This window comes from Homo sapiens, chromosome 5, assembly GCF_000001405.40.
Source record: "Homo sapiens chromosome 5, GRCh38.p14 Primary Assembly".
NCBI classification, from domain to species: domain Eukaryota; kingdom Metazoa; phylum Chordata; class Mammalia; order Primates; family Hominidae; genus Homo; species Homo sapiens.
In genome coordinates, this window is record NC_000005.10 from 172,183,369 (window position 1) to 172,207,596 (window position 24,228).

At 46.9% G+C, this 24,228-nt stretch overlaps 2 protein-coding genes across 4 annotated transcripts in view, besides 9 other annotated features; one reads left to right on the forward strand and one right to left on the reverse strand.

The window, feature by feature from the left end:
* STK10 (serine/threonine kinase 10) overlaps nt 1-4,856 on the reverse strand; it is a 146,146-nt gene extending 141,290 nt beyond the window's left edge. For all 3 annotated transcript variants that reach the window (XM_047417629.1, XM_047417628.1, NM_005990.4), the window contains exon 1: nt 4,519-4,856. In XM_047417629.1, coding sequence (XP_047273585.1) covers nt 4,519-4,674 — 156 coding nt within the window. In that variant the 5' untranslated portion in view covers nt 4,675-4,856. The remainder of the gene's footprint in view (nt 1-4,518) is intronic.
* Nucleotides 1,589-1,638: an enhancer, noted in NCBI's record as "active region_23626". NCBI's record gives its function as "activates an Ori minimal core promoter by ATAC-STARR-seq in GM12878 lymphoblastoid cells {active_cell/tissue: GM12878}" and the evidence as "EXISTENCE:reporter gene assay evidence [ECO:0000049][PMID:35858748]".
* Nucleotides 2,679-2,728: an enhancer, noted in NCBI's record as "active region_23627". NCBI's record gives its function as "activates an Ori minimal core promoter by ATAC-STARR-seq in GM12878 lymphoblastoid cells {active_cell/tissue: GM12878}" and the evidence as "EXISTENCE:reporter gene assay evidence [ECO:0000049][PMID:35858748]".
* Nucleotides 2,999-3,048: an enhancer, noted in NCBI's record as "active region_23628". NCBI's record gives its function as "activates an Ori minimal core promoter by ATAC-STARR-seq in GM12878 lymphoblastoid cells {active_cell/tissue: GM12878}" and the evidence as "EXISTENCE:reporter gene assay evidence [ECO:0000049][PMID:35858748]".
* Nucleotides 3,709-3,788: an enhancer, noted in NCBI's record as "active region_23629". NCBI's record gives its function as "activates an Ori minimal core promoter by ATAC-STARR-seq in GM12878 lymphoblastoid cells {active_cell/tissue: GM12878}" and the evidence as "EXISTENCE:reporter gene assay evidence [ECO:0000049][PMID:35858748]".
* Nucleotides 4,249-4,328: a silencer, noted in NCBI's record as "silent region_16617". NCBI's record gives its function as "represses an Ori minimal core promoter by ATAC-STARR-seq in GM12878 lymphoblastoid cells {active_cell/tissue: GM12878}" and the evidence as "EXISTENCE:reporter gene assay evidence [ECO:0000049][PMID:35858748]".
* Nucleotides 4,459-4,508: a silencer, noted in NCBI's record as "silent region_16618". NCBI's record gives its function as "represses an Ori minimal core promoter by ATAC-STARR-seq in GM12878 lymphoblastoid cells {active_cell/tissue: GM12878}" and the evidence as "EXISTENCE:reporter gene assay evidence [ECO:0000049][PMID:35858748]".
* Nucleotides 4,809-5,168: a silencer, noted in NCBI's record as "silent region_16619". NCBI's record gives its function as "represses an Ori minimal core promoter by ATAC-STARR-seq in GM12878 lymphoblastoid cells {active_cell/tissue: GM12878}" and the evidence as "EXISTENCE:reporter gene assay evidence [ECO:0000049][PMID:35858748]".
* Nucleotides 4,809-5,616: a biological region, named in NCBI's record as "H3K27ac hESC enhancer GRCh37_chr5:171615213-171615988".
* Nucleotides 4,841-5,616: an enhancer, noted in NCBI's record as "H3K27ac hESC enhancer chr5:171615213-171615988 (GRCh37/hg19 assembly coordinates)". NCBI's record gives its function as "activates a minimal SCP1, AML or CMV promoter by ChIP-STARR-seq in primed H9 embryonic stem cells {active_cell/tissue: H9 hESC(primed)}" and the evidence as "EXISTENCE:reporter gene assay evidence [ECO:0000049][PMID:30033119]".
* On the forward strand, nt 10,804-20,086 carry EFCAB9 (EF-hand calcium binding domain 9). Its single transcript, NM_001171183.2, has 4 exons — nt 10,804-10,940; nt 16,015-16,163; nt 17,198-17,374; nt 19,846-20,086. Exons 1-4 carry the CDS (start codon nt 10,805-10,807, stop codon nt 19,975-19,977), a joined length of 594 nt encoding a protein of 197 aa, NP_001164654.1. The 5' UTR covers nt 10,804; the 3' UTR covers nt 19,978-20,086.
* The last annotated feature ends 4,142 nt before the right edge of the window (nt 20,087-24,228 follow it).

A 24,228-nucleotide genomic window follows, 5' to 3' on the forward strand; every position in this document is an offset into this window, starting at 1 on the left:
TCACCTTTTCCCCTTTCTACCTCCTCTTCAAAATGAAGATTATTTTCAGTGATAAGAATTTTGAAACCATATAGCTTGTAAACTTTACTTTTTTTTTTTTTTTTGAGACAGAGTTTCACTCTCTTGTCCAGGCTGGAGTGCACAATCTCTGCTCTCTGCAACCTCTGCCTTCCAGGTTCAAGCAGTTCTCCTGCCTCGGCCTCCTAGTAGCTGGGATTACAGGCTTACAGGCATGCGCCACCACGCCCAGCTAATTTTTTGTATTTTTAGTAGAGATGGGGTTTTACCATGTTGGCCAGGCTGGTCTTGAACTCCTGACGTCAAGTGATCCACCAGCCTCGGCCTCCCAAAGTGCTGGGATTACAGTCTACTTTGTATTCTAGTAATTAACTAGGAATGGTTTTCTTTTGAAACCAATTTGTAGGACTGGTTTTCTTTTGAAATCAATTTGCATTCACATAGGCATTGAGTGAGAATGAGCTTGACTTTGCACAAAATCAATCCTATCCTCCTCTTTTTCTCCTGAGGCAGACACATTAAGGCTTATCAGGGAGAGGAGGAAAAAAAGAGGTTTGATATCTCGGAGACTGCTCCTGTGAAGACTCCTCAGGAAATCTGGAGTCAGAGTCCTCTCCTGACACTGTGACAAACTCAGACTTCCAAGGCCCAGAAAGACCTCAGGAAGCCTTCGACACTTAGGCTGTCAGAAGAAAAACAGTGCTACTGGCAGTCCCTCCTCAGCTCCCTGCCAATTGCTTTCTCAGGTGCCGTGTCAAAATGGAATCTCTGGTTCCAGCCATAACACCAAGATGGAATTTTTGGTTTGGGTTACTTCAGTAACCAGGCCAGGGAAAACCAAGTGGGCAGGAGTCGTGGTCCTTGATTAGAGGGGTCTTTAGTAAAAGCAATACCTACTTCGACTTCAGGCAGGAGGGGTGAGTAAACAGCACCTCTCGAGTAGGCAGCCTGGGTGACAGGGATCTCTGATCCAGGATGGGTCTTCCTTAGCTGGTGACTAAGGAAAAAGTGTTCAACTGAAGCCCAGAGCCCTGGATTCTAGTCCCTTCTCTTCTCTGGGCACCGGGACATATGGGGTTGGCTTAGGTCAGAGGGGTACATGCTAAGGCCAAGTAGGTAATAGATTGTTCAGGTCTATCAGCAATCACACAGCTCTCTTGGTCTGGCTCACCCTTAATTAAGAGAAAATGGTGGATTCGGAGGTAGGCGGAGAGGGCTGTGGTGGAGACAGCTCACAACTTTGAGAATTAAAGTCACTTTTTGTTTTTATTGTTGTTGTTTTTGAGACAGAGTCTCCCTCTGTCCCCCAGACTCGAGTGCAGCGGCATGATCTCAGCCCACAGCAACCTCCGCCTCACGGGTTCAAGCAATTCTCCTGCCTCAGCCTCCCGAGTAGCTGGGATTATAGGGCACGCGCCACCACACCCGGCTAATTTTTTTATTTTTTTATTTTTAGTAGAGGTGGGGTTTCACCATGTTGCCCCAGCTGGTCTCAAACTCCTAACCTCAAGTGATCCACCCGCCTCGGCCTCCTGAAGTGCTAGGATTACAGGCGTGAGCCACAGCACCTGGCCCTGGAGTCACTTTTTTAAAAACTGACTTTCCACGTGCTTTGGAGAACCAAGAGGAGACAGTATCGATTGTGGATCGGATGAGTTCCTTTGTATGAAACTTTCAGAGTAGCAGGGGAGTCTTAAGGGACTAAAGCAGGAGGAAACACAACTGAAAATGACAAGGGGAAATCTTACCAGCATGAAAGCAAAGTTCTGCGTTTAAGTTTAAAGGAAGATGAACCCTGTGAAGCCAGGACACACTGCGGGGAAGGGGACAAGAATGCAATTGAAAGCCCCTAACGGAGAAAAAAAAAAGCCCATATGTTTGTTTTGTTTTGTTTTGTTTTTGAGACAGAGTCTCGCTCTGTCGCCAGGCTGGAGTGCAGTGGCGCTATCTCAGCTCACTGCACCCTCCACCTCCCTGGTTCAAACGTTTCTCTTGCCTCAGCCTCCTGAGACGCTGGGATTACGGGCATGCATCACCATGCCCGGCTAATTTCTGTATTTTTAGTAGAGACAGGGTTTCACCATGTTGGCCAGTATGGTCTGAATTTCCTGACCTCATGATCTGCCTGCTTCAGCCTCCCAAAGTGCTAGGATTACAGGCGTGAGCCACCACGCCCGGCCCAAAAAACCCATATGTTTAGCATACGCTAAAAACACCAACTGAACCTTCTGGAGAAAGTGGGTCCTGTGGTGAGCTGACCACAGGGGTCCAGCTGCCCTCACAGTAGTCAGAGCACAGCTGCAGGAGCAGGCTCTGTCTAAGGCAGTCAAGGACACTGGCAGTGTCCAGAGACAGTTGCAAGGCTGAGGATCGTTCTCTGGTGCCACCAGGAAGAAGATGCAGCTCTGAGGAGAGTAAAGAAAAGACGTGCTGAGGACAGGGTGAGCTGGCTGCCCTCAAATATGGGCAAGGCCCTCAGGCAAAGGAGGACAGCAAGTCGGGGCAGTCCAAAAGCACTGCCTCTCGGATCACAAGACCTCTCCCTACCCCATAACAGGAAGTGTGGGCTCAGAGGGGAGGTGGCAAGGAAACAAAACAGGCACCAGGCCAGGCACAGTGGCTCACGCCTGTAATCCCAACACTTTGGGAGGCCGAGGTGGGTGGATCAACTGAGGTCAGGAGTTCGAGACCAGCTTAGACAACATGGTGAAACCCCGTCTCTACTAAAAAAACAAAAATTAGCCAGGCATGGTGGTGTGTGCCTGCAATCCCAGCTACTTGGGAGGCTGAGGTAGGAGAATTGCTTGAACCCAGGAAGTGGAGGTTGCAGTGAGGGCCGAGATCAAACCACCGCACTCCAGCTTGGGCAATAGAGTGAGACTCCGTCTCACAAAAAATAAAAATAAAAAAAGACACTGAGTGGGCCTGGTTGGTCTCAAAATTGCCACCGCTCCAGGTCAGGCAGGGTGGCTCACCGCTGTAATCCCAACACTTTGGGAGGCTGAAACGAGCTGATTTCATGAGCTCAGGAGTTCATGACAAGCCTGGGCTACGTGGCGAAACCCCAAGTCTACAAAAAATACAAAAATTAGCCGGGCTGTGGTGTGCACCTGTAGACCTAGCTACTCCGAAGGCTGAGGCAGGAGAATTGCTTGAGCCCAGGAGGCAGAGGTTGCAGTGAGCCGAGATCGGGCCACTGCACTCCAGACTGAGCAACAGAGGGAAACCCTGTCTCAAAAAAAAGAAAAGAAAAAAGAAAAAACGCCACCACTCCAAGCCTCTAGGGCAGTACTTCTCAAACCTATTTGCTTAGGAATCACCTGGGATCTTATTAAAACGTAGACTCTAATTCAGCAGGTCGGGGCTGGGCATGAGATTGTTCACTTCTGACAAGCTCCCAAATGATGCTATTATAACACCGGTCATCTAGGAACTACTTCGGTAACTAGGCGATAGACCACTTCCAAGTCAGAGGAGAAGGCCTGGAGAAGCCTTCTCTGTGGTCCAGCCTCATAGAACGGCAATCCTAGGGTCAGAGTGCCCTACAAGCTACAGGAGCCCCAAGGAGGAGGATAGTGGCTTAGAAGAGAGGTGCTCTCCTGGAGGTATACACCAATTTAACAAGTGGGCGTCTCCCAGTAAAAATTTTCTTAGGGGAAAGGGGGGAGTCAAGCTGTAGGTGTTGGCTCCCTAAAACAACTCACCACCTCAGAATTAGCTCCCAGGAGCAGAAACCAACGTCCTGCTGCCACACTTCTCTAGACTCAATCAGCTCTGCCCCACCCACTCCACAAAAGCTCTCTGCCGCGTCTTCCTCTAGGGGAGAGGTGACTGCAGGCTGGGAGACTCCCCAGCTGTGACTCAGACCGACGGAATCAAATCTGTTCCCCCAGGCTCAGCATTCACCAGATCCTGACCTCCCCCTCTGACCAGCCCCAACCCACCTTTCCAAGCCCCACCTCTCAGTCCATGGGCCACCCCTCGCCCACCCCACTTCCCTGTCTCTGGCTCATCTTCAGATGTGTCCCTAGCTCCCAACCCGTCCAAGCGCAGCCGAGTTTCTCGGTCCACATCGCCTCGATATTCCCACAGCATCTGTGGTCTCTCTTAAAAAAAAAAGTGTGCCCGTATCGCCGTTTTACGGAACGTCCCTGGAAGGTCCCTCGAGTGGCCCTCTCGGATGCTGAGGTCCTGTCAACGCCCCTTTGTCTCCCCGTGCGGCGCCGAGCGCAGTGCAGGACACACAGGAAGTGCTCCGAAACAGGGCTAGGGTGGGGGCGGCAACCGTGCCCGGAGGGGGCGCCCAGAGCGCAGGGACTCGGCCGGGCCGAGTGATGTTCCCCCCAAAAAACAAGAGTCATCGGGATGAGGGCCAGGGACCCCGAATTCAGCGCCGGGCAGCCCTCGGAGCCGGAGCCAGGCTGGCCGGGTCCGGCTCAGGCATCCCTTCCTTCCGGAGCCCCTCGACGCGCGTCCGGCCACCCACCTCAGCGCCCTCACCTTGTAAACCTTGCCGAAGGCGCCGTCGCCCAGCTCGCCCACGATCTCCCACACCTCGTTGGGGTCCAGGTCGCGGCGGACGTGCTCATATTCGCGGGACTTTCTCTTCTCGAAGGTAGACAGGCGCAGGATGCGGCGGAAATTGGCAAAAGCCATGGCCGGGGGCGCGGTGGCGCCGGCTCGGGCTCGGGCTCGGGCTCGGGCTGTGGCTTCGGCGGCCGCGAGGAGAAGGAGGAGGAGTTGGAGGACGCCGCGTCTCTCGGGGTTCTCCCCAGACCCGCCTTTCCCCGCAGCCCGACCTCGGTCAAGTGTGCCCTGGGCAGCGCCGCGCCGGGAGCACCCGGAACCGCGCAGGCGGCGGCGTGCCCGCCCCCGCCCCCGCCCTGTCAGGTCCCCAGGGCCGCCTCCCTTGTGCCGGCCTCGCAGCTCCTGCCCGGCCCAGCCCTGCCTGCGAGAGCCTCGGACCCGTTCCAGGGGACCGTCCCCGCGCCCGCCCACCGGCCCGGCTCCACCCGCCGCTCCCCGGCAGAGCCCCGGGACCCCCTAATTGGCTGCGGGCGCTCCCCGGCTCCGCCCGTCGCCGCAGGGCACTCTGGAAACTGTAGTCCCCCCACACCACGCTCCGCGAGCCGCGGGCTGGGCTTTGGGGAAGCTTCGGGGACCGCTCGGTGGGACCGCTCATGGACTCAGGAGCCCGCCCGCCGCGCCGCGTGGCTCCCAAAACTTTTATGGGAGCAAGCGGGACGGCGACTTGGCATTTCGCGAGAGCCCACGGATCGTTGTCAGCGCCCAGAAGGTGAACCTGCACTCGTTCATTTAATCCTCCCGCAGCTATTCCGCTAGGCTGCCCTCGCCCCCACTTTTCCGATGGGGACGCCGGCAGGCGAGGGCACTCGCCCCAGGCACACACGCTGGCTGCCCGTCTGCTGCGGGTTCCTCGGCGCGGTGCTGCCTCCTAGTGTGCGACGGGCAACGCCGGTGCAGCCGCGGCCAGTCCCTGCAGGGCCCGGCTTCCCGGCGCGGTCCTTTCCAGGGGCTCCCCGTCCACGATCCACAAACCTGCCAGGATTAGAGGGCTGGGAGAAAGAGCTCCTTTGGCACTGATTTCTCTTATGTTTCCTGATGGGTTTGCGGATGTATTTGCATATTAAATAAAAACTTTATTCTAATTTTTAATTTCCTAGTTTCAAAAAAGATGAGCGCACTACATACAGATCAAACTAAAGTCTTCTTTGAGCACCTTCATTCTCGATCCTGGCTACTTGAGTCACTTCACTGCTACTGTTGCCTGTTTGTCCTATAGACGGTTATAACATGCTTTTACCTGAATCTAAGGAGAGTGCTGGGGGTGGGGGGGGGGGGCGGGCAGTCTGCAAGGGTTATTATTTGGACCGTGTCATAAACAAGTTGAGTCTTCGCAAATGTCACAGTTCAATAGCTCCAACCCCAGAGAACGGCTGTGTTGAGGTGTTTTCGCCCCTTCCTCGGTGCTTTGTTCGAAAACATCCTTTGAACAGTGTGCAAACACCAAGCATGGTTTTCCACTGGGAAAGCCAGCTCAAGAAGCCTGCGATGCTGGTAGTGGTCGGCGCAGAGGGTGTCCTGGTTGCTAAGCCGTTCGGAATGTTTCCACAGCTGCAGGAGTGCCTGGAATTGTAGAGGGTCTTTAAAAGAAGGAAACGCCGCTCGTCGCTGACCGTTCTCATTGAGTCAGGCGCTGTCTGAACCTCCCAAAACATGCTGAAAGGCAGGTCTTTCATTTGTTTCAGACCATTTGGCCAACTGTACGAAGCGGGTGGGGAGACCAAGAGGGTTGCTTCCATACTAGGAGATGAAGGCTCTGACTCCACGAAAGCTGTAGGCCTGGAGGGCTCTGACCAGCTCTGAGAGCTCCAGAAAAGCAAGCAAGCGAGAGAAAGAGAGAGAGAAAGGAAAGAGAGAAAGAGAGAAAGAAAGAAAGAGAAAGGGAAAGGAAAGGAAGAAAGAGAGAAAGGAAAGAGAGAAAGAGAGAAAGAAAGAAAGAGAAAGGGAAAGGAAAGGAAGAAAGAGAGAAAGAAAAAGGAAAGGAAGAGAAGGAGAGAGAAAGAGGGAGGGAGGGAGGGAAGGAAGGAAGGGAGGGAGGGAGGAAGGAAGGGAAAGAAAAACGGAGAGGTTCATTCATTCAATAACACTAAGTCAAAGAAGCCAGACACAAAAGGCCCTGTGTTCTATAAATTTCCATTTATATGAAATGTCTGGAAAAGGCAAATCCATACAGACAGAAAGTAGATTAATGGTTGCCTGGAGCTGGGTGTGAAATGGGAATTAACTGTACATGAACAATAAACAGTCTAATTGGGGTGATGAAAATGTCCTAAAACTGCACAATGGTGACAATTTCATAATTTGGTAAATTTGCCAAAAATAATTGAATTTTAAACTTTCATTTTTGTAAATGGATGAATTTTATGTGTAAATTATACCTCAATAGCATTGTAAGAAATACATTGAGGTTCAATAGAATCAAAGCTACTTCTTTGAAATAACTAATAGACAAGACTAGTCAAAGAAAAAGAAAAAAAGGGTCGGGCACGGTGGCTCACACCTGTAATCCCAGCATTTTGGGAGGCCAAGCTGGGTGGATCACCTGAGGTTAGGAGTTCAAGACCAGCCTGGCCAACATGGCAAAACCCCAGCTCTACGAAAAATACAAAACTTAGCCGGGCGGGGTGGTGCACGCCTGTAACCCAAGCTACTTGGGAGGCTGAGGCAGAAGAATCACTTGAACCCAGAAGATGGAGGTTGCAGTGAGCCGAGATCGTACCATTGCACTCCATCTAGCCTGAGCAACAGAGCAAGACTCCGTCTCAAAAAAAAAAAGAAAAGAAAAAAAAAAAATTGGTGCAAGAAAGAAATATTCACTGGAAGAAATAAAAAATGAAAAGAGAACATCAGATTAGATACTGTAGAAATTTTGATAATCATAAAGTGATATTTTAGACAAATTTATGTGAATAAATGTTTTAATTTACATAAAATGGGTAATTATTGAGAAGAAAATATAAATGATAGGTAAAAGATAATTTCAATAAGAAATAAAAACCTAAATAAACTAGTAACCAATAAAGAAATCAAATCAAGAATCAGGCCGGGCACAGTGGCTCATGCCTGTAATCCCAGCACGTTGGGAGGCTGAGGCGGGTGAATCACCTGAGGTCAGGAGTTCGAGACCAGCCTGGGCAACATGGTGAAACTCTGTCTCTACTAAAAATACAAAAATTAGTCGGGTGTGGTGGTGCGTGCCTGTGGTCCCAACTACTCATGAGACTCAGGCACAAGAATCCCTTCAACCTAGGAGACGGAGGTTGCAGTGAGCCGAGATCACACCACTGCACTCGAGCCTGGGCAACACAGTGAGACTCTGTCTCTAAACAAAAACAAACAAACAAAAACCCAAAAAACAACAACCACAAAAATCAAGAATCAAAAGCTTGTTCTTGGTGAAAGACATCAGTCTGTGTGGTTTTACAAATAATTTCTTTCTTTATATAAATTATTTTAAAAGATAGAAAATGAAGGAAATCTGCCAATTTATTTTATAAGATGAGTTTTACTATTACTAGATAAGGACAGTAAAAGAAAATTGTAAGCCAGGCACAGTGGCTTACACCTGTAATTCCAGCACTTTGGGAGGCTGAGGTGGGAGGATCACTTGAGCCCAGGAGTTCCATACCAGCCAGAGCTATAAAGTGAGACCCTGTTTCTACAAAAAGTCAAAAAATTAGCCAGGCGTGGTGGTGCACACCAGTGGTCCCAGCTACTCAGGAGGTTGAGGCAGGAGGATTCCTTGAGCCCAGGAGGCCGAGGCTGCAGTGAACAGTGATCTCACCGCTGCACCAGCCTGGTCTCCAGTGAGACCCTGTCTTAAAAAGGAAGGGAAGGAGAGGAAAGAGAGAGAGAGAAAGAAAATTGTAGACTAATTTCATTTCATTTTTTTTTTTTTTTTTTTTTGACAGAGAGAGTCTTGCTGTGTCGCCAGGCTGGAGTGCAATGGTGTGATCTCACCTCACTGCAACCTCCACCTCCCAGATTCAAGCGATTCTCCCGCTTCAGCCTCCCAAGTAGCTGGGACTACAGGAACGTGCCACCACGCCCGGCTAATTTTTGTATTTTTAGTGGAGATGAGGTTTCACCATGTTGGCCAGGATGGTCTCAATCTCTTGACCTCGTGATCCGCCCGCCTCAGCCTCCCAAAGTACTGGGATTACATGTGTGAGCCATCACGCCCGGCCTAATTTCAGTTCTTAAAAAGACAGGGAAAATACAAATGCTAGCAAGATCAAACCAGAGGTGAATAAAAATATCGTAACCACAAAAGGTTTATCCAGGAATAAAAGAATGGTTCTACATCAGAAAATCTACTGTAATAGCACTGCATTGGCAGAGTAAAGGAGAAAAATCACATAGTCTTAATAGTCACAGAAAAAGCATTTTATAGTATTCTTAGGTTGGATTCCCTTAGAGACTGACCCTGAGGCAAGGATTTGAGTGTAAGTGGTTTATTTGGGAGTGAGTAGGGAGTAGAAAATTAAGACAGAGGAGGGGCTGGGCACCATGGCTCACACCTGTAATCCCAACACTTTGGAAGGCTGTGGTGGGAGGATAGCTTGAGGCCAGGAGTTCAAGACCAGCCTTGGCAATGTAGCAAGATCCTATCTCTACAAAAAATACAACGTGGTAGCACATGGGCATAGTCCCAGCTATGAGGAGGTGGAGGTGGGAGGATAGCTTGAGCCTGGGATTCAAGGCTGCAGTGAGGTATGACCATACCACTGCACTCCAGCCTAGGAGACAGAGTGAGATCCTGTCTCAAAAAAAAAAAAAAGAAAAAAGAAAAAAAAAATTAATGTCAGGGCACAGTGGCTCATACCCGTACTCCCAGCACTTTGTGAGGCCAAGGCGGGTGGATCACTTGAGGGCAGGCATCAAGACCACCCTGGCCAACATGGTTAAACCTCATCTCTACTAAAAATACAAAAATTGGGCTGGGTGCAGTGGCTCACGCCTGTAATCTCAGCACTTTGGGAGGCCGAGGCAGGCGGATCACAAGGTCAGGAGATGAAGACCATCTTGGCTAACACGGTGAAACCCGTGTCTACTAAAAATACAAAAATTAGCCGGGAGTGGCGGAGTGTGCCTGTAGTCCCAGCTGCTGGGGAGGCTGAGGCAGGAGAATGGTGTGAACCTGGGAGGTGGAGCTTGCAGTGAGCCGAGATCGCGCCACTGCACTCCAGCCTGGGAGACAGAGCGAGACTCCATCTCAAAAAATAATAATAATAAAAATAAAATAAAATAAAAAATAAAAAATAAAAACAAAAATTTAGCTGGGCGTGGGGGTGCATGCCTGTAATTCCAGATACTCGGGAGGCTGAGGCAGGAGATTCGCTTGAATCCAGAAGACAGAGGTTGCCGTGAGTCAAGACTGTGCCATTATAGTCCAGCCTGGATGATAAGAGTGAAACTCTGTCTCAAAAAAAGAAAAAAAAGAGGCAGGGCTCAATGGTTCAGACCTGTAATCCCAGCACTTTGGGAGGCCAAGACGGGCGGATCACAAGGTCAGGAGATGAAGACCATCCTGGCTAACGTGGTGAAACCCCGTCTTTACTAAAAATACACAAAATTAGCCGGGCGTGTTGGTGGGCGCCTGTCGCCTGTAGTCCCAGATACTCAGGAGGCTGAGGCAGGAGAATGGCGTGAACCCGGGAGGCGGAGCTTGCAGTGAGCAGAGCTCGCGCCACTGCACTCCAGCCTGGGTGACAAGGCAAGACTCTTGTCTCAATTAAAAAAAAGAAAAGAAAAAAGAAAAACTTCCTCTCTTTGGCATTATTATACTGTAGTTATTCTAGGCTCTTTTAGTACTTTTCCATGTGTTTTTCAATTTTTCTTCTTTCTAATAAATGATTTAGGCTATAAATGCTCTGAAAACCACTTGGGCTGTGTAGCAGTTTTCCTATGTAGCACATTCTCTCATTCATTTCTGAACAGCCTGTGGATCTCCTTTAGAACTGATTGTATTTTAGTGACATAAGGATAATCACGTTACCAAGAGGTTTCGGACAGCAGATATCTATCTATAGCATAGCTGGAAAAATTAAGAAGCAGCAATTTTAATTTTTGACTGTTTCCTCTGACGTGTTTACCTTCACTGCTGCCAGATCTCAGACACTATATCCAACATTCTACTTCTGAGGCAGGGTTCTGTATTCTATTTCTGGTTGCCAGAGCCTTCAGTTGACACAGTACTAAGATGAGACTGAAGCAAGGATCGTTTCTGTGGTACCTCTATCTGGACAAAATATACTGCTTATTATCCGTGAGAAACGTGAAGGCTTTGGCAGAATATTTTCATATTCTGGACGTGCACGGCAAGAACACCTTGAATGGTCAGTACTTTCAGACATGTCTCCTCTGGGTCCTTACCTGGGTTTTAGCTAATGTGTAAGAAAACTTGCAGAGCCAGAAACTATTTTGTTAGTACATTTTTTTTTTTTTGAGACGGAATCTCGCTCTATTGCCCAGGCTGGAGTACGATGGCGCGATCTCAGCTCACTGCAATCTCCGCCTCCAGGGTTCAAGCAATTCTCCTGCCTCAGCCTCCTGAGTAGCTGGGATTACAGGTGTCTGCCACCACGCCTGGCTAATTTTTTGTATTTTCGGTAGAGATGACCAGACCATGTTGGCCAGGCTGGTCTCAAACTCCTGACATCAGGTGATCCACCCGCCTCCGCCTCCCTAAGTACTGGGATTACAAGTGTGAGCTACCACACCCGGCCTGTTAGTAAATATTTTATCTTCTAGTTGAAGCACAGAGAGAAGTTGCCAACTCAGAATTGACACGGGGGACAGTTCAGCCGGGAGGAGAAAATTGCAGACTCTGGTGGAATCCTGGCTCCACACCCATTATTCCTTGGTGATGTGGATAACACGTCATCGCCCTCTCTAAGTCTCATTTTCCTCATCTAGAGGTGAGGCTTCTCATAATGGAGTCCATCTCATAGTTGGAAAAAAAAAAGATAATGAGAGTATGGCAAATGCTTAGCACAGTGTCTGACACATCGTAAGGACTTAATAAGTGTTTGTTATTATTGTAATTATTATTCTTGGGAGCTGAGCCCCACTCAGGCATTAACTCTGGAGACCCCTCAGCAAGATTTATCTGTCATGTGGGAAGTTTGAATCTGATGAGCTGCAGGATCCCTTCTACTTATTGGTACTTGTGAATGACCAAAAATAAATAAATAAATAAATAAATAAATAAAAATAAATAAATAAATAAATAAATATAAAAGCTGCAGATCTCAGCCATGCTTGTTGAGTTCACAAACTAATAGAAGTCCAATTAAACACTTGAGGTTATTTTTAGGACTGAGTAGAAATAAGGTATCCTATCCATTCACTCGTTCTGACCTCAGAGAGAGAAATGTCATCCGTGAGTAAGGGGTTCCTCCGTCATGATTTTAAGGAGTTCATTCAATTTTTAAAAACAATTAAAAAAGAACACCTTCTTTCTCTCTTTACATAGAGATTTATGTACAGTGCATTGCCAAATCTTCGCAATAACCCTGCCCTAGATAAGGCAGCTGCAGGGGACCTAGTTGTAAATAAAAGGCTGAGATGGAAACGCAGGGCTCTCTGCCTGCAAAGCCCATGCTGAGTCTCTCTGGGATGCTTGAGGAGTTTAAGCTCCCTGGTAACCTCCCTGCTGATGCAGTACCCAGGAGGTAACGCCATGCTCATGTCTTCTGGTCACAGAGGGACTGGAGAGTGACCTGGAAGGGTGAAGGCACAGCCTTAATGTTTGCCTTCCTGTGGGGGAATGACTTAAGGTTTTGGAGACTTGGGTGAGCCAGAGTCCACCGGTTTCAAAACAGTCTTTTATTTATTTATTTATTTATTTATTGGGACGGAGTCTCGCTCTGTCGCCCAGAAGTGCAGTGGCCCAATCTTGGCTCATTGCAACCTCCACCTCCCGGGTTCAAGTGATTCTCCTGCCTCAGCCTCCTGAGTAGCTGGGACTACAGCTGTGCACCACCACACCCGCTAATTTCTGTATTCTTAGTAAAGACGGGCGGGGTTTCACTATGTTGGCCAGGCTAGTCTCTGTTGGCCAGGCTAGTCTCGAACTCCTGACCTCAAGTGATCCGCCCACCTCAGCCTCCCAAAGTGCTGGGATTACAGGCGTGAGCTATCACACCCGGCCTCAAAACAGTCTTTGTTAAGTAATTACTAAGTTGCACATGGAAACATTTCTCAAGCAGCAACTACACAAACATCACTGTGCATATATATGGTGTGTTGTTTCCAGGTGCTCATATCCAGAGAGGCGTGGAGAAGGAACATCAAGAGGCGGTCAGAAGCCCCCAAATCATGACATTGTGACTACTAATTTGCTGTGCTTTTAGCTGGCTTCAGCTGGGACTCCACATTACACAGATACGTTTTACCTATTCAGTGGAGACATTTCTTTTTTTTTTTTTTGAGACGGAGTTTCACTCTTGTTGCTCAGGCTGGAGTGCAGTGGCGCCATCTTGGCTCACTGTAACCTCCGCCTCCTGGGTTCAAGCGATTCTCCTCCCTAGTAGCTGGGATTACAGGCATGCACCACTACGTCCGGCTAATTTTGTATTTTTAGTAGAGACGAGGTTTCTCCATGTTGGTCAGGCTGGTCTTGAACTCGTGACCTCAGGTCATCCTCCTGCCTCGGCCTCCCAAAGTGTTGGGATTACAGGTGTGACCCACCGCACCTGCCCACTGGAGCCATTTCTTATGCAGGAGAGAGTTTCTGTCATCAGTGAGTAAGGGGAAACACATGTAGATAAACGTAAAAATCCCTTGTTACTGTAATTTGTACATACAACTGTAGACAGCCACACACCACTGTGTAAGTGTATTGCCATGCTTGTTTTTTTCATATTTTATTCATGATTAATGAGTGGCAGGCAAAAAACTTCTCTGTACTTGGTTTGCAACAAGATCTTGAAAATGAAAACAACAAAAAAGAAAACAACAAAAAACTTCCCAGTTCTTTAAAGAGTTTTTCAGTATTTTTTCTTCTGAATGTGTATGATTAAATATGCATTAACTAATGCACAAAAGATAGAGTTTCACCATGGAAAAAAACACCACGGTGAGGGAAATCCACACTCGAACCCCAGCTCTGCCACTTGCTATGTGAGGCACAACTTTTTTTTTTTTTTTTTAAACAGAGTTTCACTTTTGTTGCCCAGGCTGGAGTGCAATGGCACAATCTTGGCTCACCACAACCTCTGCCTCCCGGGTTCAAACAATTCTCCTGCCTCAGCCTCCCGAGTAGCTGGGATTACAGGCATGCGCCACCATGCCCAGCTAATTTTGTATTTTTAGTAGAGACGGGTTTTCTCCATGTTGGTCAGGCTGATCTCGAACTCGTGACCTCAGGTAATCCGCCTGCCTCAGCCTCCCAAAGTGCTAGGATTACAGGCATGAGCCACCGCGCCCAACGTGAGGCACACCTTTGCTGCTCAATGTGTGGTCCTCAGATTAGCCACAGCCACATCACCTAGGAGCTTGGAGAAATGGGCAGTCTCAAGTTCCATGCCAGATTTCTTGAATCAGAATCTGTAGTTTTATAATATCCCTCAAGTGACTGGTATCCCCATTACAGTTTGAGAAATGCTAATATAGACTAATTGATATCTGAGACTTACTATAAAGGGTATTGTGTCTGGTGTTGGTTCCTTCTGGTGGGTTCGTGGTCTCCCTGACTTCAAGATAAAGCCACAGACCCTCGCGGTGAGTGTTACAGCTCTTAAAGGTGGCACAGACCCAAAGAGTAAGCAGCATCAAGATTTATTGTGAAGAGTAAAAGAACAAAGCTCCTACAGCATGAAAGGGGACCCAAGCAGGTTGCCGCTGCTGCCTGGGGTGGCCAGCTTTTATTCCCTTATTTGTCCCTGCCCACGTCCTGCTGATTGGTCCATTTAACAGAGTGCTGATTGCTCCATTTTACAGAGTGCTGATTGCTGCATTTACAATCCTTTAGTTAGACACAGAGTGCTGATTGGTGCATTTACAATCCTTTAGCTAGACCTAGAGCACTCATTGGTGTGTTTTTACAGAGTGCTGATTCGTGCATTTACAATTCTTTAGCTAGACACAGAGTGCTGATTGTGTGTTTTTAAAATCCTCTTGCAAGACAGAAAAGTTCTCCAAGTCCCCACTCGACCCAGGAAGTCCAGCTGACTTCACCTCTCAGCATGATGCCACTTTCTCTGTAGGGTTGTCAGGATTTAGTGAAATGTGGCATTTAAAGTGCCTAACATGGCTGGGTGCACTGGCTCACACCTATAATCTCAGCAGTTTGGGAGGCAGAGGCAGGTGGATTGCTTGAGCCCAGGAGTTCGAGACGAGTCTGGGCAACATAAGGAGACCCCATCTCTACAAAAAATTAAAAAATTACCTGGACATGGTGGCATGCACCTGTGGTCCCAGCTACTTGGGAGGCTGGGGTGGGAGGATCATTTGAGCCTGGGAGGTTGAGTCTGCAGTGAGCTGTGAATGTGCCATTGCACTCCAGCCAAAAAATAAATAAAAAATAAAGTGCCTAACACATAAGGTGGTAAATAAGGTTTGGTCCCTTCCCCCTACAGCCAGATGCATTTGCTTTATACAAGCATGAGGCACATCAAGGCGTTTATAGACGGGGAATGACTTTTGTTGTTGTTGTTTTTGAGACGGAGTCTTGGTCTGTCGCCCAGGCTGGAGTGCAGCAGCACGATCTTGGCTCACTGCAACCTCCGCCTCCCGGGTTCAAGCAATTCTCTGCCTCAGCCTTCCAAGTAGCTGGGACTACAGGTGTGTGCCACCACGCCTGGCTAATTTTTGTATTTTTAGTAGAGACAGGGTTTCACCATATTGGCTAGGCTGGTCTCAAACTCCTGACCTCGTGATTTGCCCGCCTTGGCCTCCCAAACTGCTGGGATTACAGGCATGAGCTACTGTGCCTGGCCGAAGGGGAATGATTTTGTATTCCTCATTTTAATTATCTCAAGGGAAAGGCAAAGGAAAAATGTCAGCATCTCCAAGAAAGTGTTCTCAGTCCCCAGTGAGAATTAAGCTCTCCTTTCATACATAAGGAGCACTTTGTGCCCATTTTATATGTTAGCGCCTTGCCTTTTATCAGTGCTGTGTACATATCTGTCTGCTCCATGGAGTGTGTGAGCTGGGGGCAGGAGCCAAGCCCTGTCCACGATCTCATTCTCCACAACTCCAGGTCCAGTGCTTTTCCACAAGCTCAAGGGCGACGAAGGTTTCAGGAACTATAGAAAGTACAGTGGCAAAGCCAGAAACAAAATATTATCATCATTCTTCCTAGATCAATAAGCTTCCAACATCACTACCATTTACATGGCTTCTAGCTGTTTAGCATTTTGGAACTATATCCAAATAACACATCTCCTCACCTGCCCACCTTAACAGATGTGCTGTTCTATCACTTCCTTCATCATGTGACTGACTTGAAAAAGGCACAGATCAACATTGTGTTTGACATGCTGGACTGGAACGCTGTGGGCGAGATCGACTTTGAGAAGTTCTACATGCTGGTGTGCATGCTGCTGGCCCACCAGGCAAGTAGCCGCGCGGCTGCTGCCATCCTCTTGCTAATGGGAGCACTGAATTAGGAATGCATCAGAAGTTTTCCTCCTTTCACTAAAAAGAGGAAGAAAAGATGGGTGGTGGGGAAAATGAGTTTTGGTTCCCGAATGGTTCAGGTTTTTCAACAGCTTCTCCCTGAGGCAGCCCCAGCCTCTTGGCCGCCCTCCTACTCTGCCCACCCTCGTAAAGGACAGATGTGGCCCATCGCATCCCTTCTTGGCATTCCTTTCCTCACTTGCTCTAGCTGGTGATTTTCAGAGAATCACCAGTTAGCTCAAATGCCTCACTCCTTCAATGATCCTTTTCCTCAGAGAACCTTCTGAGGTCTTTTCTTACCGTATATACATTTCCAGTATGTACTTACCCAGTTTCCTTTTTTTTTTTTTTTTTTTTTTGAGACTGAGTCTCAATCTGTGGCCCAGGCTGGAGTGCAATGGCGCGATCTCAGCTCACTGCAACCTCCACCATCTGGGTTCAATAGATCAAGTAGCTGGGACTACAGGTGCACACCCCCACACCTGGCTAATTTCTGTATTTTTAGTAGAGATGGGGTTTCACCATGTTGGCCAGGCTGGTCTCAAACTCCTGACCTCAAGTGATCCACCCACCTCGAGCCTCCCAAAGTGCTGGGATTATAGGTGTGAGCCACCACACCCCGCCTCAGTTCCCATTTTTTTGAGGGAAGGAGGTCATCGTTTTATCACCCACGCCATGATGTTTCACAAGACTTTCACTGAAGGTAAGGAAATGCATTATAGTAACTAGGGTTCCGTCTAGCAGAATTGATTATTACAAGAGGCAGAATTCAAGTTCCTTTTGAATGCAGATGCTGAAGTGGGACTTGCTGCATTTGCTGATAGAACCCTTTCAGCCCTGAGCTTCTGATTTTCTCTTTTGCTTTTAGCTCTCTAGGGAAGGGGCTGGTGAAGATATGTCTTGAGGAAACAAGTTTAGAAAGCAGCATCGACAACACTGTTGCTCATCTCACCTATTTCTCTCGCAATAGAACCATTTGGAAGGACAGTTTATGTATCGTCATTCCCGGCCTGTCTTTGACCTGCTTGACCTGAAAGGGGATCTGAGAATTGGTGCAAAAAACTTCGAAATGTACAGATTTCTCTTCAATATTCAAAAACAGGAACTCAAAGATCTCTTCCGTGACTTTGACATTACAGGTGACAATGTAAGTACAGATCCAAAATGTGGCATGTGTGTGGCAGTCTCTTCCCAAAAGCAGAGAAAAATGTCCTACTACATATAGGAGAGATGGGAGAGGAGGAGGGAGGGAAAAACCTACTCAAATAAGCACATTGCATGGCACAAGGATCAGAAAAAAACTTAAGAGACTTATGGGATCTTGAAGAGAAAGGGTGGACTAACTGCTGTATCATGGCCAGGCTCGGGGGCTCATGCCTGTAATCCCAGGACTTTGGGAGGCTGAGGCAGGAAGATCACCTGAGGACAGGAGTTTGAGACTAGCCTGGCTAACATTGTGAAACCCTGTCTCTACTAAAAATGCAAAAATACAAAAATTGGCCAGGCGTGGTGGCTCACGCCTATAATGCCAGAATTTTGGGAGGCCGAGGTGGGTGGATCACCTGAGGCTGGGAATTTGAGACCAGCCTGACCAATACGGAGAAACCCTGTCCCTACTAAAAATACAAAATCAGCCAGGCGCAGTGGCACATGCCTGTAATCCCACATACTTGGGAGGCTGAGGCAGGAGAATCGCTTGAACCTGGGAGGTGGAGGTTACAGTGAGCTAAATCATGCCATTGTACTCCAGCCTGGGCAACAAGAGGGAAACTCCGACTTAAAAACAACAACAACAACAAAAATTAGCCAGGCGTGGTGGCAGGTGCCTGTAATCCCAGCTACTTGGGAGGCTGAGGCAGAAGAATCACTTGAATCCGGGAGGCGGAGGTTGCAGTCAGTCATGATCACACCATTGCACTCCAGCCTGGGTGACACAGGGAGACTCCATCTTAAAAAACAAACAAACAAACAAACAAACAAAAAATGCTACATCATATAATATGGATACAAAATTATACTTTGGAGGAAATATAATATGACAGTAGTTTAGTGTTGGGGGAAGAGTTTGTAGATTTGAATTAAACAGGAAGAGATTATATGATGAATGGGAGCATGTGAGCATAATCCTAAAGGCTGAGCACTGTGGTGCGCACCTGTAGTCCCAGCTCCCTGGGAGGCTGAGAAGGGAGGATCGCTTGAGCCCAGGAGTTCCAGGCCAGCCCGGGCAACATAGTGAGATCCTGTCTCAAAAAAAATTCCTAAGAGAAAGCTATGGTGAAGACAGTGAATTCTGCCTATTTAAAGAGGAAATCCACATTGGGGAAACAAGTGGCAGCTAAGGTTGAAAACAATGATCACACTGTGAACAACCTTAGATGCCAGCCTGAAGCCTCTGGACTTCACATGGTAATGATCGGTGAAAAAAGTAATTGCGGTTTTTGCCATTGAAAGTTGGCAGGCTGGGGTTGGGCGCGGTGGCTCATACCTGTAATCCCAGGACTTTGGGAGGCCGAGGTGGGCAGATCACGAGGACAGGAGATCGAGACCATCTTGGCTAACACGGTGAAACCCCATCTCTACTAAAAATACAAAAAAACTAGCTGGGCATGGTGGCAGGTGCCTGTGGTCCCAGCTACTCGGGAGGCTAAGGCAGGAGAATGGTGTGAACCTAGGAGGCGGAGCTTGCAGTGAGCCGAGATCATGCCACTGCCTGGGCGACAGAGTGAGACTTCATCTCAAAAAAAAAAAAAAAAAAAAAAAAGAAAGTAATGGCAAAAGCCGCAATTACTTTTGCCTTTTCTACCAACCTAATGGAAGAAAGTGACCTTTGTGCTGGGCACCATGGCTCATGACTGTAATCCCAACATTTTGGGAGGCTGGGGTGGGTGGATAACTTGAGGCCAGGAGTTCAAGATCAGCCTGGCCAACATGGTGAAACCCTGTCTCTACTAAAAATACAAGAATTAGCCAGGCGTGGTGGCACACGCTTGTAAGCCCAGTTACTCGGGAGGCTGAGATGGGAGAATCCCTTGAACCCGGGAGGCGGAGGTTGCAGTGAGCTGAGATCACGCCACTGCCCTCCAGCCTGGGTGACCAAGTGAGACCCCGTCTCAAAAAAAAAAAAGGCCAGGCACAGTGTCTCACGCCTGTAATCCCAGCACTTTGGGAGGCCGAGGCAGGCGGGTCATGAGGTCAGGAGTTTGAGACCAGCCTGACCAACGTGATGAAACCCCATCTCTACTAAAAATACAAAAATTAGCTGGGCGTGGTGGTGTGCATCTGTAATCCCAGCTACTCAGGAGGCTGAGGCAGGGGTATCACTTGAACCTGGGAGGTGGAGTTGCAGTGAGCCGAGATAGCGCCACTGCACTCCGGCCTGGGCGACAGAGAGAGACTCCGTCTCAAAAAAATAAAAGTGGCCCTTGTTCCTTTAGCATCTACAATAGACTCTCTATTCCTGGGTACTCGACTACAATCGGACTATAATTATGTCCCAATTACTGAGTGTCTTTAATTTTCCAAGTTTTTAAAATAGAAATGAATATAATCCTATCATCTGAAACAAAGTATGAAGTTTTTCCTGAAATAATTTTTCTTTCCCCCCCACCCTAACCAAAGCGTCTTAATTATCAGGAATTTAAGCTGTATACAATCATCTACACTGACAAATTACAGAAGAGGCAGAAAACAGAGGAGAAAGAAAAAGGAGAGAGAAAGAGAAGTCTCTACTCAAAATGTCACATCAAGTAGATACAAGCTGAAAGAGTCTTGGAAAAAAATGGGATCTGAAAGTACAGAACATGAACATTGATGAAGACTGTTAACATGTCTAAAAATAAATTCAGAGCATCAAAGTAGATATCTTTATAATGACTTTTTTTTTTTTGAGACTGACTCTTGCTCTATCGCCCAGGCTATAGTACAGTGGGATGATCTGGGCTCACTGCAACCTCTGCCTCCTGGGTTCAAGTGATTCTCATGTCTCAGCCTCCCGAGTAGCTGGGATTACCACCATGCCCAGCTAATTTTTTGTATTTTTAGTAGAGATGGGGTTTCACTATGTTACTCAGGCTGGTCTCGAACTCCTGACCTCAAGTTATCCACCCACCTTAGCCTCCCAAAGTGCTGGGATTACAGGTGTGAGCACTGTGCTCAGCCAGGTTTTGAATTTTAATAACCTCTTGATCTCACACAGAACTCACAATAATGTGGAATAACCACTTTCGTTTTGTTGACATGTCCTAATTCTGCTGCTGCTTTTCAGATCAACCCTGATCAATAGCTTCCGCTGTATCCAACTAATTGCTAACACAACATACTGGAGCCAGGTAGGCGAAAGAAGGTGCAGCTTTCATGATATTGGTCATAGTGGTCCAACAGCCTCCTACTTCTTAGGCTAAGGCCACCTAGGTGCCAGAGATTTCAAATTAGCCAATGGTGACGTGCTCCAACCACACAGTAGTTGACATTTAAGAATATGGAGGCTATGTTCTTCCTAGAATCTTAATTACTCTGAGTTAGGTACTTAAACAAGTGTACCAAATTCACTAGGGTAAAATAATAATTATTATTTTTTGAGACTGAGTCTTGCTCTGTCACCCAGGCTGGAGTGCAGTGGCGCAATCTCGGCTCACTGCAACCTCTGCCTCCCCGGTTCAAGCGATTCTCCCTGCCTCAGCCTCCCGAGTAGCTGGGACTACAGGCGTACCCCACCAGGCTTGGCTAATTTTTGTATTTTTAGTAGAGACGGGGTTTTACCATATTGGCCAGGCTGGTCTCAAACTCCTGACCTCGTGACTCACCTGCCTTGGCCTCCCAAAGTGTGGGGATTACAGGCGTGAACCATCGTGCCTGGCTTGGTAAAATAATTATTATATGCCATTGAATAATTTTAATTTTTTTATGCCTTGAATAATTTAAAAATATTTTTGGGGATGGAACTTATGAATCCTCTCTACCCAATTGTACTGTAATGTTACTGATGACAGCTACCATATTATCATGTGCTTGCTATGGGTTCGGTAGTTCTTTAGAGGCATGATTTATCCTTATAGCCCTATGAATTAGGTGTCATCCTTGATGTGCAGATGAGAAAATTGAGACCTAGGAAGGTTAAGAACCTTACTCAAGAACATAAAGCTCGCAAGAGGGCGGACCAGGATTCAAATTCAAGGTCAATTAGATGCCTGTGCTTAGAGCCAGTATCTGAGCAGCTCATTTTAGTTTCAGCAGATCCAAGTTTTAAGCTGAGATTTCATTGGTTTGGAAATCTATTTTGCATAATGTTATTAATCACCACATCTCCTACTACCATAAATTTCTCAGGGAAGAAGTTAAATACAGCTCAAAAAAAAAAAAAAAAAAAAAGAAATACAGCTCATTTACTATAAACCAAGGATTTCTTAAGGATACATTACATAACTGGCCTTAAGGAATTCCATGAGTTCCAGAGTACTTAATATCAAAAATAAAACTTAATAACTTTGTCAATGTGCAACAGACAAGAATACTGCTTAAGATTGTCATTCATAAGTTAAACTTGTAAATAACAGCAAATAATTACTCTCTCTCTATATTTAATAGACATAGGATTTTGATTTCATGCTTTCAAGTGTGACAAATGTAATTAGCAGCCAAAACTTCTCTTCCCCACAATGGTACCAGAAAAAACAAACCCAACTCAAGATACTTGACCTCTGATCTAGGGATAATGGTATCTACCTCGTGGAACTGTGAAAAACAAAAAGATGCAACGCATCTCACAACAGTGCTCTTCCCTTCCTTTGCTTTGGTGAAGAGTTTGCAATTATTCTCCAAGGAGACTCTCTGGCAAGCAAGTATGGACACTACTACACCTACCCACTGTACTGAAAGATGAGCACTATCTGGTCAGAAAATGGCAGCTAGAGATTAGCCATAGTTCCAAAGTGCCCCACTAAGCTCATCTTGGCATAAACCGTTCCTGCCTCTTGTGGCAGCCTCGATGGCTTTTGCCACCAGACAGCCTTGGGATCTATGCATGGTTTTGGAAGAAGAAATTAGTGAGGTCTCAGGAAGGCTTCTCTGTCCTACCTTCCAGAGGGGTCCTGAGATATATAAAGGGTAACCATGGCCAGGCATAGTGGCTCAAGCCCGTAACCTCACCACTTTGGGAGGCCGAGGTGGGTGGATCACTTGCGCTCAGGAGTTCGAGACTAGCCTGGGCAACATGGTGAGGCCCTGTCTCTATTAAAACCAAACCAAAACAAAAGGGTAACAATGGATATGTATTTTTTCAGACATGGTCTCTAAAGCAATGAAAATACTATACTCTTTATTGTTTCAGAATGGGGGCAGGGAGAAAAGATGGCCAAAGATAATACGTACATATAGGTACTGATTTAGGCTAATTTAAAACCACATCAAATGACTGAAGTTTCAGGAATGAGCAATTTTATAAAAGTTTTCCCCTCCACTCTGGAAACCATTAGGGTGGCTATAAAAGGTATAATTAACCAACTATCAGATTTTTTTTTTTTTTTTTTTTTTTGAGATGGAGTTTCGCTCTTGCTGGAGCGCAATGACGCAATCCCGGCTCACTGCAACCTTCACTTCCCAGTTCAAGCGATTCTCCTGCCTCAGCCTCCTGAGTAGCTGGGATTACATACACCCGCCACCACGCCCGGCTAATGTTTGTATTTTTAGTAGAGATGGGGTTTCGCCACGTTGGCCAGGCTAGTCTTGAACTCCTGACCTAAGGTGATCTGCCCACCTTAGCCTCCCAAAGTGCTGGGATTACAGGCGTGAGACACCGTGCTCGGCCCAACTATCAGATTTTTAAAATGTTCTTCCTTTTAAGAGCATTTTCCTAAACTGGATGCTTCTAGAGTGGTATCGGGAAACTGAGCATCTCTCTGAATATCTCACACTGAAACTTAGTGTCAAAAAGGAAATTTAAACGCACCACTTCAGTGACATTCTTTTGGGACTTAGTAGTACAATTTATAAAACAATCTACTAATGTACACTTTAGGACTTTTTCACAATTACATTCTATGACAACAAATTTTAAATGTGTTTGTAGGTATGTGTGGAGATGCTTCAACTTAAGTTTCACTATTTCCACAGTGAATTCACCCATCAGATTGTGCTTTTAAGGGTAGAGTTTATTAGACAATGTACATTTAGGTATGTTTTTGGATGGTACCAACCCTCTGTATTATTACTAAGTCATAGTTGCATTAAAATGTTTTGGTCAACCAAGTGTGTTCAGGTGGCCTGTGCCCTGGGAAGAGAGCAGCACCTGCAGAGGTAGGGGAATGCAGGCCTGATGGGAGGGAGGGCTGACCCAGCTACAGTTTCAGCCCAGGCCCAGACTGGTTCCTCCATAATCTATATCCGCTACAAAGAGGGAAGACATTTGGAGGAAGCTAACTATAAATCAAGTGAGATCATTTATTAGGTTGGTGCAAAGGGAACTGTTTTTGCCACTGGCATTAAAAGCATTAAACGCAATGGCAAAACTGCAATCCCCTTTGCACCAACTCAACATCTTCCACCAGTTCTTAGAGTTCATGTCTTATCATCTTAAGCCTCATACCAAAGACAATGATTAGAAAGAGCCAAATGAACTGTGCTGACATCTGCTGAGTGGGACAGTTATCCACCTTAGCAGCCTACAGAACGTGGAGCATCAGAGGAGCCACAAGAAACCCAAACAGACATCACAGAAGATTGGCTATAGCAAGGGAGGTTATCAGCTTCATTCTTTCCTCTCCATAAGTGAAAATACTAAATTACAGTATTTGAGAGTTGGAGGTAGACATAATGTATATCTGCTAATTTGTCCAACTGATAAGAAAAGACCATTAAAAAACTATAGTGTCTTAAAAACTTGTCATAAAATAAGGATTTTTTCACATCAATGGGGAAAAGATAGATAAAAGTTATTCAGTAAGTATTATCAGGAAAAGTGGGGTAGCTATTTGGAAAAATAAATGTGGATTGCTACCCTACTTCTTT